This window comes from Homo sapiens, chromosome 9 (genome assembly GCF_000001405.40).
Source record: "Homo sapiens chromosome 9, GRCh38.p14 Primary Assembly".
In the NCBI taxonomy this organism is placed as follows: Eukaryota; Metazoa; Chordata; class Mammalia; order Primates; family Hominidae; genus Homo; species Homo sapiens.
The window spans coordinates 42,569,350-42,587,482 of NC_000009.12; the positions used below are offsets into that span (position 1 = coordinate 42,569,350).

The following is an 18,133-nucleotide window of genomic DNA, read 5'->3' on the forward strand; positions in this document are numbered from 1 at the left end:
ACATTGCAGCAAGGAATGGGGTACTATGGGTCATCTCAGTGGGAGGAGTTAGAGAGAAACTGTTATACGATTTGGGCTTTAATTGGTTGATTTCGGACAGGATCTCAGAAAGTGAAGACTTTAGATTGGATGCTGTCAGAAAGCAGGAGCAATATGATTATTAAGTATTTTCTGGGTGGCATCAAGACCTTGTTTTTTATCTGCACTTAGACAACATTATAAAGTGCCCTTGTTTTTGTTTGCACTTATCACGGTCTCAGATTAACCTTCTGAAGTTGATATTCTGTGAGATTGTTTATGTCCAACAGGAAAACAAAATGTCCTGGCCATGAGCATCAGACTAGCGTGTAATAACATTAAGGCCTGTGACCCAAATATTGACAGAATTGAAGTTAGAAATAGTTCTACAGTAATAGAGTCTTCAATACTCCATTTAAAATAATGCATAGAAGCTGGACATGGTGGCTCATGCCTTTAATCTCAGCTACCTGGGAGGCTGCGGCAGGTGGATTGCTTGAGGTCAGGCGTTCGAGACCAGCCTGGGCCTTTTGGCCTGTCTCGGCTTTTAACATACCTTCCTCACTCAGCTTAATCATTTCTCACTTTAGATTTATAATAAGAGATGTGTGACTCTTACTTTCACTTGAACACAGAGGCCTTTATAGAGTTATTAATTGGCCTAATTTCAATATTGCTGTGTCTCAGAAAACAGACCTGAGGAGAGGGGGAGATGGAGGAAGGGCAGATCGATGGAACCATTCGAATACACATAGGTATCAATTAAGCTCATTGTCTTTTGGACCATGGCTTGTGATGCCCCAAAACAATGACAATAGTAATATCAATGATCACTGATAACAGATCACCATAACAGATATAATAATAACAAAACATTTGAAATACTACAAGAATTACAAAGATGTAACACAGAGGTGCAAAATAAGCACATGCTACCAGAAAAGTGGCACTGGTAGACTTGCTTGGTGCACGGTTGCTACAAACCTTCAACCTGTAAAAACTGCAATATCTGAGAAGCATAATAAAGTGAAGTGCAATAAAACAAGGTAAGCTTGTATATGTATGCATGCACACACCAATACACATCCATCTATCCACACACAAATATTTGTACTAACAAAGCCTGTATTTTCAATTCCAGCAATACATCATTTGTACCTTAAAAATATCTGTCATCCTTGTAGTGTCCTTTTCTGTCTTTGTTATCAGGGTAATGCTGGCCTCATAAAAAATGTTTGGAAGTGTTCCCTCCTCTTCAACTTTTGGAAGTGTTTGTGAAGAAATGGTATTAATTCTTCTTCAAACTTTTGGTAGAATTCTCCACTAAGCTATCTGGTCTTGGATTTTCCTTTTTCAGGAGCTTTTTGACTACTGACTCAATATTTTTACTCATTATTTATCTGTTTTTATTTTATATTTCTTCATGTTTCAGTCTTAGTGGATGTATGTTTCTAGAAATTTCTCTATTCTAAGTTAAACAATTTGTTGACACATAGTTGTTTAGACTATTATTATCCTTTGTATTTCTATGGTACCAATTTTAATATCTCCTTTTTTGTTCTAATTTTATTTACTTGAGATTTCTTTTTTCTTAGCCTAGTAATAGGTTGGTCAATTTTTATTATCTTTTCAAAAAATCAGCTCTTCATTTCATTGATCTTTTCTATTGTTTTTCTAGTCTATTTCATTTATTTCTGCTATGATCTTTGTTATTTCCTTCTTCTAATTTTGGGCTTGATTTTTTTTTCTATTTTTTGAGGTTTATTTGAGATCTTTTTTCTTTATTTAGCACTTATCTGTATAAACTTCCCTCTCTTAGAATGGCTTTTGCTTCATCTCATAAGTTTTAGTATGTCGTGCTTTCATTTTAGTTTGTCTCAAGTTATTTTATTTCTTTTTTGATGTTTTCTTTGATCTACTGGTTATTGAGGAGTGTGTTGGTTGATTTCCACATATTTGTCACTTTTCTAAGTTTTCTCCTGTTTTTAATTTTCAGTTTCATGCCACTGTAGTCAAAAAGAATACTTGGTGAGATCTCAATATTCTCAAATTTGCTAAGACTTGTTTTCTGGCCTAATATATGACCTATGTTGGAGAATGTACTGTGTATGCTCGAGAAGAATGTGTATTTTGCTGTTTTGGAAAGGAATGTCATGTATATGTCTGGTCCATTTGATCTATAGTGTAGTTCACGTCAGCTGTTTCTTTAATGATTATCTGTCTGAATGATTAATCCATTGTTGAAAGTGGGATATGGAAGTCCCCTACTGTTATTGTATTATTGTTGTCCACTTCTCTCTTCAGATTTGTTAATATTTGCTTTATATAATTAGGTGCTCCAATGTTGGGAGAATATATATTTGCAGTAGTTATATCCTCTTGATGAATTGACCCTTGTATCATTCTATAATGACTTTCTTTGTCTCTTGTTACAGTTTTTGACTTAAAATCTATTTTGTTTGTTGTAAGAATAGCTACTCTTTGTCTTTTTTTGTTCCCTCTCTTTCAGTCTATGTGTGTCTCTAAAGGTGAAGTGAGTCTCTTATAGGTGGCATATATTTGGTTCTTGTTATACTATCCATTCAGCCACTCTGTGTCTTTTGTTTCACTAATTTGGTCCACTGATATTTAAAGTAACTATTGATAGGCATTTTGTAGTTTTTTTGTTCTTTTATTTCTCTCTTGCTGTGCATGATTTGATTACTTTCATTATTTTCTGTAGTGGTATACTTTGATTCTTTGCTGTGCCTTTGTATTAATTCTTTTTTAAACATGTGGTAAAATTCTCATTTGTGTATCTGTTACATGTTTGTCTTTGTGATTATCATGAGGCTTACATAAAACATTGTATGCTATCGTGTGCCACACAAGGATGTTTTGGCCAATGATGGGCCACATATACAACGGTGGTCCCATAAGGTTATAACATTTTTATTGTACCTTTCATATGTTTAGATACATTAGATATACAAATGCTTATGATTGTATTACAGTTGCCTATAGCATTCAGTATAGTACAGTGCTGTACAGATTTGTAGCCTGGAAACAATAGGTTATACCATATAGCCTGGGTGTGTGTTAGCTAGTATTATCTAATTTTGTGTAAGTATACTCTATGATATTCACACCATGACAAAATTGCATTATTCAGAACATATCTGCATTAAGAAATGCATGATTGTAGTTATAATGGTCTATTTTAAGTTGATAACAACTTAACTTCAATCATATAAAAAAACCCTACACTTTACTCCCCTCCACTTATGTTTTTTGATGTCAGAGTTTCTTTCTTTGTATATTTTGTAATTATATTTATTTGTAGTATTTTTTGTCTTTTAACCTTTTAAAAGTTAAAGTGATTATACTGCATCATTACAGTATTAAGAGTATTTTGAATTTGACTGTATAGTTACCAGTGACTTTTTATAACTACATATGGTTTCATGATACTAATTAGTCTTATTGCATTTCAGTTTGAGGAACTCCCTTTAGGGTTTCTTATAAAGCAGATCTAGTGACAGTGGACTCCCCTAGATTACTCTGGGGGGTTTCTGAAAAAGTCTGTAAGTCTTAGCCAGAGCAATTAGGTAAGAAAAAGAAATAAAAGGCATCCAAATTGGAAAAGAAGTGAAAGTGTGTCTATTTCAAGATGACATGATCTTATACAGAGAAAATTCTAAAGGCTCCAAAAAGAAAACTTGTTAAAATTAAGAAACAAATTCAGCAAATTTACAGAACACATAATTGACATTAAAAAAAAAAAAAAAAACAACCTGTTGCATTTCTATATACTAACAGTGAACTATCCCAGAAAGAATTTAAGAAAACAATCTCGGGCTGTGCGCGGTGGCTCACGCCTGTAATCCCAGCAATTTGGGAAGCTGAGGCAGGTGGATCATGAGGTTAGGAGATCGAGACCATCCTGGCTAACACAGTGAAACCCCATCTCTACTAAAAATACAAAAAATTAGCCGGGCATGGTGGCAGCCACCTGTACTTGGGAGGCTGAGGCAGGAGAATGGTGTGAACCTGGGAGGCAGAGCTTGCAGTGAGCTGAGATCACGCCACTGCACTCCAGCCTAGGTGACAGAGCGAGAGTCCATCTGAAAGAACACAATCTCATTTACAATAGCATCAAAAAATTAACTTAGGAATAAATTTAAATCAGAAAGTAAAATTTCTATATACCAAAAACTATAAAACACTGATGAAAGAATTTGAAGATAAAAGAATCTCTATTACTCAGTGTGATCTACAGATATAATGCAACCCCTATCAAAATTTCAGTGGCATTTTTCAAAGAAATGGAAAAAAGCAATTCTAAAATCTGTGTGCAACAGACCCCAAACAGTCAAAACATCATTGAGCAGAAAAAACAAAAGTGGAAGCATCACATTACCTTATTCCAAACTAAATTATAAAGCTATAGTAATTAAAATAGTACGGTACTGGCATAAAAACAGACATGTAGGCCAAGGGAAAAGAATAGAGAGCACAGAAACAAATCCATGCCTTTACAATCAATTGATCTTCAGCATTGGTGCCAAGAATACACAATGATAAAAGTTTAGTCTCTTTAATAAATGGTGTTGGGAAAACTGGATATCCACATGCAGAAGAATGAAACTGAACCCTTATCTGACCCTACATACAAAAATTGACTCAAAATTGATAAAAGACCTCAACCTAGGAGCAATATTGTAAAACTCTTAGACATAAATATAGGAGAAAAGCTCCTTGACACTGGTATTGGTAATAAATTTTCAGATTTGACACCAAAAGTATAGACAACAAAAGCAAAACTAGACAAATGGGACTAAATCAAAAGATTCAGCACAGCAAAGGAGACAATCAATACAATGAAAAGACAACCTAAAGAATGGGAGAAAATATTTACATGCTATATATCTGATAAGAAGTTAATATCCAAATAAATTAGGAACTCAGATGATTCCAAAGGACCTTGTATTAGTCTGTTTTCATGCTGCTGATAAAGACATACCTGAGACTGGGTTATTTATAAAGGAAAAAGAGGTTTAATGGACTCACAGTTCAACATAGGTGGGGAGGCCTCATGATCACAGTTGGAAGGTGAAAGGCAGGTCTTACATGACAGCCAGCAAGGCAGGATGAAAGCCAAGCAAAACGGGAAACCCCTTATAAAGCAATCAGATCTTGTGAGATTTATTTACTACCACGAGAAAAGTATGGGAGAAACTGCCCCCATGATTCAATTGTCTTCTGCCAGGTCCCTCCCACAACATGTGGGAATTATGGGAACTACAATTCAAGATGAGATTTGGGTAGGGACACAGCCAAATCATATCATTCTGCCCTGGCTCCTCCCAAATCCCATGTCTTCACATTTGAAAGCAAATTACGCCTTCCCAACAGTCCCCCAACATCTTAACTCATTTCAGCATTAACTCAAAAGTCCACTCTCCAAAGTCTTATCTGAGACAAGGCAAGTCCCTTCCAGCTATGAGCCCATAAAGTCAAAAGCAAGTCAGTTACTTTCCAGATACAATGGAGGTACAGGGAGGGGGTAAATATACCTGTTCCAAATGGTTGAAATTGGCCAAAACAAAGAGGCTACAGGCCCCAAATCCAAAACTCAGTAGTCCAGTCAAATCTTAAAGTGCCAAAATGCACTCCCTTGACTCCATGTCTCACATCCAGGTCACACTTATGCAAGAGGTGGGCTCCCACGGCCTTGGGCAGCTCCACCCCTGTGGCTTTGCAGGACATATCCCCCCTCCTGGTTGCTTTCATGAGCTGGCATTGTCTGTGGCCTTCCTGTGTGCATGGTCAAGCTGTTGGTGTATCTACCATTCTGGTGTCCAGAGGACGGTGGCCTACTTCTCACAGCTCCAGTAGGCAATACCCGAGTGGGGACTCTGTGGGGGCTTCAACCCTACATTTCCCTTCTGCACTGTCCTAGCAGAGGTTTTCCATGAGGGCCCCCCGCACCCCACAGCAAAATGCTGCCTGGACATCTAGGTGTTTCCATACATCCTCTGAAATCTAGGCAGAGGTTCCCAAACCTCAGTTCTTGACTTCTGTGCACCCACAGACTCAACACCATGTGAAACTGCCAAGGTTTGGGGCTTGCGCCCTCTGTAGCCACAGTCCACGCTGTACCTTGGCCCCTTTTAGCCATGGCTAAAGTGGCTGGGATGCAGGGCATCAAGTCTCAAAGTGGCACACAGCAGGGGGCCTCTGAATCCAGCCCAGGAAACCATTTTTTCCTTTTAGGCCTCCTGGCCTGTGATGGGAGGGACTGCCACAAAGGTCTCTGACATGTCCTGGAGATATTTTCCCCATTGTCTTGGGGATGAACATTTGGGTCCTTGTTGCTTATGCAAATTTCTGCAGCTGGCTTGAATTTCTCCTCAGAAAATTGGTTTTTCTTGTCTATCACATCGTTTGGCTGCAAATTTTCCAAAGTTTTATGCTGTTTCCTTTTAAAGCTGAATGCTTTTAACAGCACCCAAGTCACCTCTTGAATGCTTTGCTGCTTAGAAATTTATTCTGCCAGCTACCCTAAATCATCTCCTTCACGTTCAAATTTCCACAAATCTCTAGGGCAGGGGCAAAATGCTGCCAGTCTCCTTGCTAAAACATAGCAAGATTTACCTTTACTCCAGTTCCCAACAAGTTCCTCATCTCCGTCTCAGACAACCTCAGCCTGAATTTCATTGTCCATATCATTATTAGCATTTTGGTCAAAGCTACTCAACAAGTCTCTAGGGAGTTCCAAATTTTCTCATGTTTTTCTGTCTTTCTGTGAGCCCTCCAAACTGTTCCAACCTCTGCCTCTTACCCAGTTCCGAAGTTGGTTCCACATTTTTGGATAACTTTACAGCAGCACGCCACTCTACCAGTACCAATTTACTGTATTCATCTGTTTTCATGCTGCTCATAAAGGCATACCAAAGACAGTGTGATTTATAAAGAAAAAGAGGTTTAATGGACTCACAGTTCCATGAGGCTGGGGAGGCCTTACTTATGGTGGGAGGCTAAAGGCACATATTACACAGCAGCAGGCAAGACAGGATGAAAGCCAAGTGAAAAAGGAAATCGCTTATAAAACAATCGGAACTTGTGAGGCTTATTTACTACCACAAAAACAGTATGGGGAAAACTGCTCCCATGATTCAACTGTCTCCTACTGGGTCCCTCCGATAACACATGGGAATTATGGGAGCTACAATTCAACATGAGATTTGGGTGGGGACACAGCCAAAGCATATCAGACCTGAAGAGATACATTTCTAAAAGACATACGATTGACAATAGGTATATACTAATAAAAGGATGTTTGCCATCACTAATCATCAGGAAAATGCACAATGAGATATCACTTCACATCTATTAGGATGGCTATTGTAACAGTAAAAAGGTAACAAATGTTGCTGCGGATATTGAGAAAAAGAAACCCTTGTGCTTAGTTGATAGTTGATGGGAACGTAAATTGGTACAGCCATTAGTGACAACAGTATGGAGTTTCCTCAAAAAATTAAAAATGGAACTCCCATATAATCCAGCAATCCCCATCTGGGTATATATCCAAAGTAAAGAAAATCACTATCTCAAAGAGATATGTATACTTACATGTTCATTGCAGTGTTATGTACACAGCCAAGATATGGAAACTACCTGTGTCCATTGACAGATGGATGTTTTAAATGTATTACACACACACACACACACACACACACATATGTAATGGAATATCATTCAGCCTTTAAAAATGAGGAAATACTGCCATTTGTAACAAGATGGACAAACCTGGAGTTTATTATGGTAAGTAAAATAAGCCAGGAACACACACAGAAATATCCTGCATGATTTCACTTATATGCATACTTAAAAAATGTCAAACTCATGGTAAGAGAGTAAAATAGTGCTTACCAGGGCCTGGGAGTTGGGGGAAAAGAAAAAATGTTTGTCACAAGGTACAAACTTTCAGTTATAAGATGAATAAGTTCTGGAGATCTAACGTACAGCATAGTGACTAAAGTCAATAATAATGTATACTTGAAATTTGCTGAAAGAGTAGATCTCAAATATTCTCCACCACACAAACACAAATAAAAAGGTAACCAGGTGAGGTGATGAATATGTTAGCTTGATTGTGGTAATCATCACTTCACAATGTATATGTATATCAAAATATCACACTGCACACCTTAACTATATACAATTTTTCTTTGTTAATCAATAAAACTGGCAAAAATATCTGTTATATGTTGCCTTGACTCCATTTCTTCTTATTTTGTCAAAATAGATAGTCCTCATTGTTTGCACAAGTTTAGAAAGGTGTGCTACATCTGGAAGCCAGGAGTGGGGTAGGGTGAACTAAGTTACTGATTCTTTAGGAACCTTAGGGTGTGAGGTGGGACTGGAGTTCAAGGCCTAGGAGCCGAGTCTGGTCTTGATCAGTCTCTTTTTTTGTTTTGTTTTGTTCTGTTTTGAGACGGGGTCTCACTTTGTTGCCCAGGCTGGAGTGCAGAGGCACGATCTGGGCTCACTGCAACCTCTGCCTCCCAGGCTCAAGCAATCCTCTCACCTCAGCCTCCCAAGTAACTGGAACCACAGCCATGTGCCACTATGCCTAACTAATTTTGTTGTATTTTTGGTAGAGATGGGGTTTCGCCTTGCTGCCCACGCTGGTCCTGAACCCCTGAGCTCAGGTGATCCACCCACCTCGGCCTCCCATACTGCTGGGATTACAGGTACGAGCCACCACGCCTTGCCATGAGCAGCCTCTTCTGATATCCGTGGTGTGTTCTGTACACTTTTTTTTTGTCTGAATGCACCTTTCCTTTCTCCTCCCTTGCACTCCAGAACCGTGGATACTCAAGTCTATCCTGAACCATATAGAGGGGGAGCTTGGAGTGCTATATGAAATTCATTTATGATATCATTCTTCATTCCTTCACAGAAGTAACTCAGAGTTCAATTAGGGATTCACATGGTAAATTTGTCTTAATGCTCCAAGTGGGCTTAAAGGAACTTCCTTCTTGTCGGCCATCATGTTTGTATACAACTGTAATGGGAATTTGAGTTTGTATGACTAGTGTCATGAGCACTCATGTTTGTGAGCACACCTCTGCATCTGCTATTTCTTCTATTGGCCTACAGACTTTTCCTTCTTTAGGATATTATCAACTTGAATTCAAATTTTTATCAAAAATTGGACCTAGCTCTTTTTATTCATATTTTCCTGCTACATTTTTTCCACTAATTTATTTTCGATAGGTTATATTGTGTTTTTTGACACTTAAAAATTTTACCTAACAATCTTAACCTTTGATTTATGTAATTATTGTTCCATTATGACTTCTTTCTGTTATCTCATTTATGATTTTTCATACTTTACTGTGTCTTTTTTCCTATTTGTACCTCTCACTCTATAGATCAAAAATTTTTCATTTGTTTGAAATCTGGAAATTTTTAACATTGTAATGGTGGTTATGTCATTACTTATGTTAATTTTCTCAATTTCCTCCATGTGTCAAAATTAATATCATCTCAGCAAACCAAATAAGTACTCTAGCCTCCTCTTGCCACCTCTGGTTTGCTTTCTCTGTTAAGACAGCACTTTGTCTAAGGTGGTACTTTCTGAAGTTTACTCGGAGTTGTTTTCAATATGTTATGTTTTCATGTATTTTTTAGGGTATGATAAACACCACTACCATTGATTCTGGAACCCTCAATTCTAACACCACGGTGTATTTCTCTTCTTAGTGGAGTATGTCCTCTAGGCATTTTCAAAGGGATTTATTTGAAATAAAACTTTTGAGGCCTTACTTTATAATGTCTTTTTCTGTGCTTTCATATTTAAAATATTTTGGCTGCAAATAATTCAAGGATTAAAAATTGTTTCCTTTTAATCCTTGAAAAATATTACTTCATTTTATTCTTGTCTCCAGCATTGCTGTTGGAAAGGCTGATGCCAATCAAAACCAATTTTTCCCTAAAGGATGATCTGTCTTCTCATCATTTTGACAGGATGTAACAAAACAAAGGAGTCTTCAATGTTGTGAGTATAAATCATTTTGCAATTATAAACTTAACTTAAATATTAATGCAATACAAAAAGAATTAAAACCTTCTTGAGACATGCAAGTGCACAGGAAAATTAACTATCATGCACTCATTCAGGAAGAAAAGGTGCAAAAGAAATTTAATGAAAGAGACGGTCGTTAGATGCAAGTGTGGTTGAATGTAGGGATGCGATGCTGACAAGTGGCAGCAGGCCTGGCAAGCTGTCTCTCCCAATTCAACTACTTCAGAAAGAGAAGAATATTAACTAGGCTATCTTGGTGATGTGTTGAAAAAAGGTGCTATGTTTCCTTTTTAATCATTCAAAACAAAGGTAGTAAAATTCCTGGGAAATAAGAAATAATGCATCATAAATGTATAAAAATAGAAGAAAATACTATATTTTTATGAATTTAAAATGCCAGCTATTGTAGATTGTTATCTCTTTTCAGAAGTGCTTTAAAATTGATGGCACATAGTAAAAAAATGGCATAAATTCCAACAATTAATGGAAAAACATTAATCCATCTTCTTGAATCTTGGAACCAGGATTCTTTTGGGAGGCTTCGGTGTATCTGTGTATCATTTCATTGCCTTCACACAAATCAAATCATGCCACCTGCGACTGTGGTTTGAAAAAAAAAGAAAACATAATAATGATGCTGTCAATTCACCTGAGATTCCATGATCAAAATTAACCTATGAACAAAGCACAGACTTTATTATAATTACAAAATAGGATGTAATTTACATAAAATGTGAAAATATAAGTATAGAACCATATTTGATACAAGTCGAAAGCTATGACAGGGACTGTTGGAGGGGAGGGAAGTTGTACACTAATCTCCACATCCTACTGAGCCAATCAGTGGTGTTCAAATTGGATGGACTGTATATTTAAACAATATATTATTTAAGCAAAGAATTAAGCACTGTAAGTATATTATTTAGAGGAAGCAAATTTTTAAAAATCCCTTAAAATTATATATTAAAGACTAAATTGGAAATATAGTTTTAGAAGAAGAAAGTGGGGTAAATGGGCTAGGTGCAGTGGCTCACGCCTGTAATCCCAGCACTTTGGGAGGCCAAGGCGGGCGGATCACGAGGTCAGGAGACCAAGACCATCCTGGCTAACACGGTGAAACCCTGTCTCTACTAAAAATACAAAAAATTAGCCGGGCGTGGTGGCTGGCGCCTGTAGTCCCAGCTACTCAGGAGGCTGACGGAGGAGAATGGCGTGAACCCGGGAGGCGGAGCTTGCAGTGAGCCGAGATAGCGCCACTGCACTCCAGCCTGGGTGAGAGAGTGAGACTCCGTCTCAAAAAAAAAAAAAAAAAAGAAAAAAGAAAAAAGAAAAGAAAGTAGGGTAAATGAGCTATATTCTCTATCGTTCATAAAAAGTCAAGGGATATTACTTAAAACTGATAAAACAAATTAGGTGATTATATAATATTATTTACAGTTCAAGAGAATAGCATATAGTAAAAAAAAGAGTATGATAAAACCTGCCTAACTCTGAAAAACAGGACCAAGGTCTGTGGAAGGAAAAAAAAAGTTTCTGGTTTCCACTGATTTTTTTGCCATCAAACTGTTTGAATGATTTTCCATGCACATGTGTTGCTTTAATTTAAAAATGTTCTTACTCACAGATCCCCTTGAATTACGTGTAAAATTAGGTTTCCTTTAGTCAATGGTGTATGAAAAGTAATCAACTCATCTAACTGAAGTTAGACATTAATAAATTATAATTTGGGGGATAACATAAATATACCTATTAAAAACAACCAGAACATAACAGTTGGCTCTATGTTCTGCTTATCTAGGAATTTTTAAAATTATAAAAAAAAAAAGGAGTTTCACATTTTTAAAGAAACATTAGGAATAAAAATGTAAGTGTTTCTCTTGGATAAAGCTCTTAAAATCACTAGTAGAATAAAGTCAATCTAGATTAAAATTTATATTTTCAAATTTATAATATGACCAATATTGCCATCAAAATGTTCAGGCACAGAACATTTTAAAGTAGCTATTTTATTGTTTCTCAACATCCTCTTTCCTTCTATGATTGGCATCACAAATCATGATTGGGACATCTTATCAAAGAACTATACTTGTAGTTTTTGAGTGAAAAGCAAGGGAGAAATTTTATTTGTGCCTTGACCTTATTGATAATGTGTAACTTGTGATGGCCACTATCAATAGAACTATCAACAGATTCGAAGGGCACTGTTTGTTCCTTTAATATGGAGAAATATCGCAAATAACTGGGAAATAATTTAATGACTGAAGCCTTCATTTTTAATCATATAGCTGAGTGATATTTTAAGTTTGATGAGAATAAACATTTGAACAAAAATAGCCAATTCCCTGTTTCATAATTTAATACATTTGTGTTAAAAGGTTTAGATGATAAAGTTAATTTTGAAATGCATTATAAATAACTAAGTAGCAATCATTAAGTTCATTTTTAAATAACTGTTTAGATAACTTAGTAATTAGCAATCATTAAGTTCATTTTTAACTAACTGTTTAGTCCACAAAAGATAAAAAATATATTTTAGAAGGAGAGGGCATTCCAAAATCTGTCTCAGGGACATTTAATGTCAAATATCTTTCAATGAAGCAGAAATGTAAATACATGTTTAGATAATTTAGGTTAAAAAAGGTAAATTTTGGTTGCCTGCTTAACTTTTATGAAACAGATATTTTCATTCAAGTCCAGCATATATTTTGCTATGACTTCCACATCCTTTCCTCAGAGAATATTTACCTAAACATTAGGGTACCAAAGGAACTAGGAAACAAAAACTTCTTATTAGAGAGAGAAATTTTTAAGTGAGGCACACATTCTAATGATAGTAATTTGTTTTTGACATTTTATTAATATTTTGATAACACTAATAAAATCCAAAGGGGCAAGCAGGTATTACTGTCTCAGGGTGGGCCCTCTTTTGTCATCCTCTGTAAGATCGCAGTCATCAAAGAGCGTGACCCAAGAAGAAAGTAAAACAGTGGAACAAATGAGCATTTCTCTAAATACAAACAGTAGAGTCCTTGAGAAAGAATCCTTTAAGGCCTTAGATTTCTTTAAACATTTTTAGATAAATAGTCTGGCCTATGCAGAACAAAATGAAATGGTGATAATGAACAGGATAGTGAAGTTTTGTACTGACATAAATGGCGAGTTGATTAATGCTTAGGATAGTGTGAAAGAAGAACTGAATGAAAAATGAAAATCGAAAGAAGAAATACCCAGACAGACCCTTTCCTAAAACATGCATCATAAAATATTTAAAAGCATCTGCTTTAATGCATGGGCTGAGTCAAAGTAAGGCAAATTTTCAGATATCTAGAAGAGCAAAAAAAGTCTGAATCCAGAGGTGTGAGTGTCTCATCTGGCATTTGCCCTGCGGTGTCTCCCAGGACCTACTGGCCCAGACCCATGAGCACCTAATTCAGGAAACAGAGACTGATGCCCATGCAGGAAGGAATATAGGCTAAAATGCCTCCTGCATAAATCTAGGATTTCTAAAAAGAAGCACGTTAAGTGCCTGGGCTAGGAAAATCCCACCCCCATAAGAAAGTGAAAATATGTGCTTGTCTTGGTCCCAATAGGGTAGACAAAAAAATGAAAAATAAAAAACGTATGATAATTTCTAAATACAAAACAATAGCCATATTGGTTTGGGTTTGAATTCACACTATCTATGGGCCTGAGAAATACCAGGGTGGAAATTAGCCTCTGGTAGCAAGAGCTGAGGCCAGCCAGACTTCCTGGGTCGAGTGGGGACTTGGGGAAATTTCCTGTCTTACCAGAGGATAGTAAAATGCACCAATCAGGAACTTACCTGTCTCACGAGTTCTGTGAAATGTACCAATCAGCGCTCTGTAAAACGCACCAATCCATGCTCTGTAAAACACACCAATCAGCGCTCTGTAAAACACACCAATCAGCAAGCTCTGTAAAAACGCATCAATCGGCAGGATTCTAAAAGTAGTCAATCACAGGGAGGATTGAAAAAAGGGCACTCTGATAGGATAGAAACGTGACAAATAAGGGAATAAAACCTGGCCACCCCCCCACCCCCACCCCAGCAGCAGCAACCTGCGTGGGTGCTCTTCCCCGTTGTGGAAGCTTTGTTCTTTAGCTCTTCCCAATAAACCTTGCTACTGCTCACTCTTCGGGTCCTTGCCATCTTTAAGAGCGAAAACACTCACCGTGAAGGTCGGCGGCTTCATTCTTCAAGTCAGCAACACCACGAACCCACCAGAAGGAATCAACTCTGGACACAGCAGTCCTGAGAGCTAATTAATCTGAGTAGAATCATAAAGATAAATATATTTTTCACACATACTTGGAAACATATTTTGTAACACAGCTTTTATTGTGGTTAAGTGAAGATAGTAAATTTTACAATAAGCAACACTGGGACCACTGGTCTCCATAAGGGGGAAAAAAGGAAATTGAAACTTAATCCCATAGACCAAACCTAAAAATATATTTTAATGGATAAAGATACCTTCTCAACATTCTTAGAAAAAAACTGTGGAGCATCTCTTTTATCTTTACATAGGGAAGAAGAACAAACGGCAAGAGTAAAAACTAACTTGATCACATAAAAATTTAAGACTTCTGTTTATTGGATACCGCAATGAGAAAAAAATATGCAAAACTTGGCAGAGATATTTGCAACACATGTTACCTAGACAGGTTTAGTATCCAGAATATATAAAGCTCTCCTATAAATTAATAAGTGAAAAATAACACCTCAAGAAGTTAGCATAAATAGCCCATAAGCATGTGAAAAAGTGCTCAACCTAATAATAATCATGAAAATGAAAATTAACAATTAGATACCCTTTCACACATATTGACAAAATTTTTTGGAAGTTCTGAAAGGTGTAGTATTGGCAAGGATAAAGAACCGTGGAAGCATTCATCCCATGCAAGTAGAAGGACAGCCATTTGGAAAACGGATGTTAGCTCATACAGCTGATCATGCATGTACCCTCTGACCCAGCGGCTTCACTACAACCTAGTGCAATCTAGTCAGCCTGTTACAGGCCCCAGAAAAATTCTTGCATTTGTTTACCTAGGGATATATGAGAATGTTCACAATTTTAAAAACCTGGAAACAATCCAGTTATCTCTCAATATGGGTAGATTGTGGAATAGGTAACTAAATGATCATATATTCCAATAATAGAGTACCTCGCAGCACTAAGAGTGAATGAACTGCAGCTACTCACATTCTCAAACACAGCACTGCAATGAGATACTACTGCATGCATATTAGAATGGCAAAAATCCAGAACTCTGACAACACCAAATGCTGATGAGGATGTGAAGCAACAGGAACTCTCATTCAGTGCTGATGGAAATACAAAATGGAGAATAGTTTTGTGGCATCTTAGAAAACTAAATCTACTCTTATTATACGACCCCGCAATCTTGTTTCTTGGTATATACCCAAAGGAGTTGAAAACTTATGTCCACACAGAAACCTGCACACAGATGTTTATGGACGTTTTATTTATAATTGCAAAAATTTGGAGACAAGCAAGATTACCTTCAGTAGGTGAATAATTAAACAAACTGTATTACATCCAGACAACTGAATACCATTCAATGATAAAATAAATGGCTGTCAAGCCATGAAAAGACACAGTGGAAGCTTACATGCATACTGCAGAATGAAAGAAGCCAATCTAAAAAGGCCACATATGTCACTTCCAACTTTATGACCTTCTGGAAAAGGTAATACTATAGAAATAGAAAAAAAAATCAGTGGTTCCCAGGAGTTAGGAGGAAGAGAGGGATGAATAACCAGAGCACAGAGGATGCTTAAGGCAGTGAAAGTACGTGTATGATATTTTAATAGTGAATACTTGTCATTGTAAATTTGTCCAAGCCCAAGTGTGAACCTTAATGCAAACTATAAGATGTATCATGTAGGTTCTTTAATTGTAACAAATGCACCACTCTGGTGGGGGATGTTTATTATGGGGGAGGCTATGCATGTGTGGGGGACAGGGAGTATATGGGAAATCTATACCTGCTGCTCAGTTTTGCTGTGAACTTTGAACTGCTCTTAAAAATAATGTGTGTATGTGTGTATATATACATACATATACATGTTTGTGTGTATGCATATCTGATCATAAGAAACAATACATAGTTTCACTTATTTAAAAAGTCAAATGTGCAAAACTAAACAATATACAAGTCTGTAATGACAAGCAATGGAATGATTAACAGGAAGTTAGGGATAGTGGTTACCTCTTGTGGAAGGAGTGAGTGGCATTGTAGAAGGGCAATGGGAGTTTCTAAGATACTGGAAATATTCTATTTCATAACCTGAAGGAAGGACACATATGCTCATTTTATATTCTTCTTAAGCTGTACATACACACTTTTATATTTATGATCTATTTCATTAAGTAATAAGACAATTAAATATATGCATTTGTAAATAAGTGAGATTAACAAATTTTTGGATACATTTAACTTATTAAAGTTGACTCAAATAATTAGAAAATCTGGATGGAAATCATACCATTAAAGTAATTGAGTTGATAATTAATAATTCTACAAAGAAAACAGGATGCCCAGATGATGTCACAAGTAGTTCCAATGTTACACTAATTATTTGCGAGGGGAGAAAAAAGAGGCCATTCTTCAATTCATTTGAGACTAGGGTAACCTTGCTATTGTGTACCTCATCCATGCACACAGAGACAAATATTGTAAACAAAATACTAGGAAGTATACCTAGCAAAGTATAAAAACCATGAACAAGCTCGGTTAGTAATACAAATTTAGTTCAATGTTAGAAAATCTACTGAAATCATCTCCTTATCAATGAATTAAAGACAAAAGTTATATGATTGTCTCAAAAGGCCTATAAAATTATTTTACAAAAATTAAATAATTCATGATATTTCCACCTATGAATAAAGGGTAATTTCCTTAACCTGATAAAAGGAGTCAACAAATAACCTACAGCACCTATCATGTTTTGTGATTAAAAATATCGAAATCACTCCTTTTAAAATCAAGAAAAAGACAAGAGTACCATTGTCACTAAACTGCTTCCAAAGCTTATACGGAAGATAAAAGGGCCCAGTATAACTAAGACAATCCCATAGAAGACTAAAGTGTGTGAAGGTGGGAGGTGGAGCTTATGTGAGTCTATCACGTACCAGATTTACTGTGAAGTTATAATTACCACAGCAGGAATTGCTATTGTGAAAGTGTATGCTTGTGTGAAATCTTGATGTATGCCCTGGCTAACATTACAGAACAGTCAGAAAGGGTCTATATAATCCATGGTATGAGCAGTTGGTATCCATATGGGAAAATATCAGAATGGATCTCTATCCCAAAAATGGATCGCTATCACACAAAGGCCAGATCTAAATGGACAAAGGACTTAAATTTGAGATGCAAATATTTAAAAATCTTTTAGAAGAAAATATAGGAGGGTAACTTATTACATGCCACACCTACTATGTGTACTTTGTACGATGCAAGTGTTGTATATGAGTGTAGTATGTTAAGTGTAGATGCCTCTAAGCAGTATATGCATGCTTGCTACTTTACACACATGAAACACTGGGAATGGGAGCATGAGAGGAAACCCTAGGTCATTCTGGTCTCCAGACTGCTGCTCCTGCCCACCCCCGGTTCCAGCACTCCCTTCCCCATTCTCCTATACAGATCCTCTGTTCCCGGCACAGCCACTTACAGCAGCTCAAGCCAGCGGCACCCACGGAGAGGCCCTCTTCACCCTACTGCTGGGCTGTCATGTCCCCTTTCTTTTCTTTCTGAAAAACAGTTTTCTCTGCCTGTGACTCCTCATGTTTCACTCTCTCTAAAGCACACGGAAGCCCGGTTCCCTCCTCTGCTTTATCAGACCTGTTGCTGTGAGTTCCACTAGTGACCCTGCATGACAAATTCGGAGGTTTGCTCCCTTTTGCATAGCGTAAAATGTTTACCTCGTGACCTACTTGATAAATACAATTTTATAATTGTTAAGCTATCTATATATTCTGTATCTGTTTT

At 36.8% G+C, this 18,133-nt stretch overlaps 1 long non-coding RNA gene across 1 annotated transcript; it reads right to left on the bottom strand.

Moving 5' to 3' along the window:
* Positions 1–10,455: 10,455 nt before the first annotated feature.
* LOC101927827 (uncharacterized) lies at positions 10,456–17,185 on the bottom strand. The gene is made up of 3 exons (NR_121564.1): positions 14,287–17,185; positions 13,917–14,002; positions 10,456–10,693 (listed from the first exon to the last, which is right to left on the bottom strand). It is a non-coding gene; the product is annotated as an uncharacterized LOC101927827 (long non-coding RNA).
* Between the last annotated feature and the right edge of the window lie 948 nt (positions 17,186–18,133).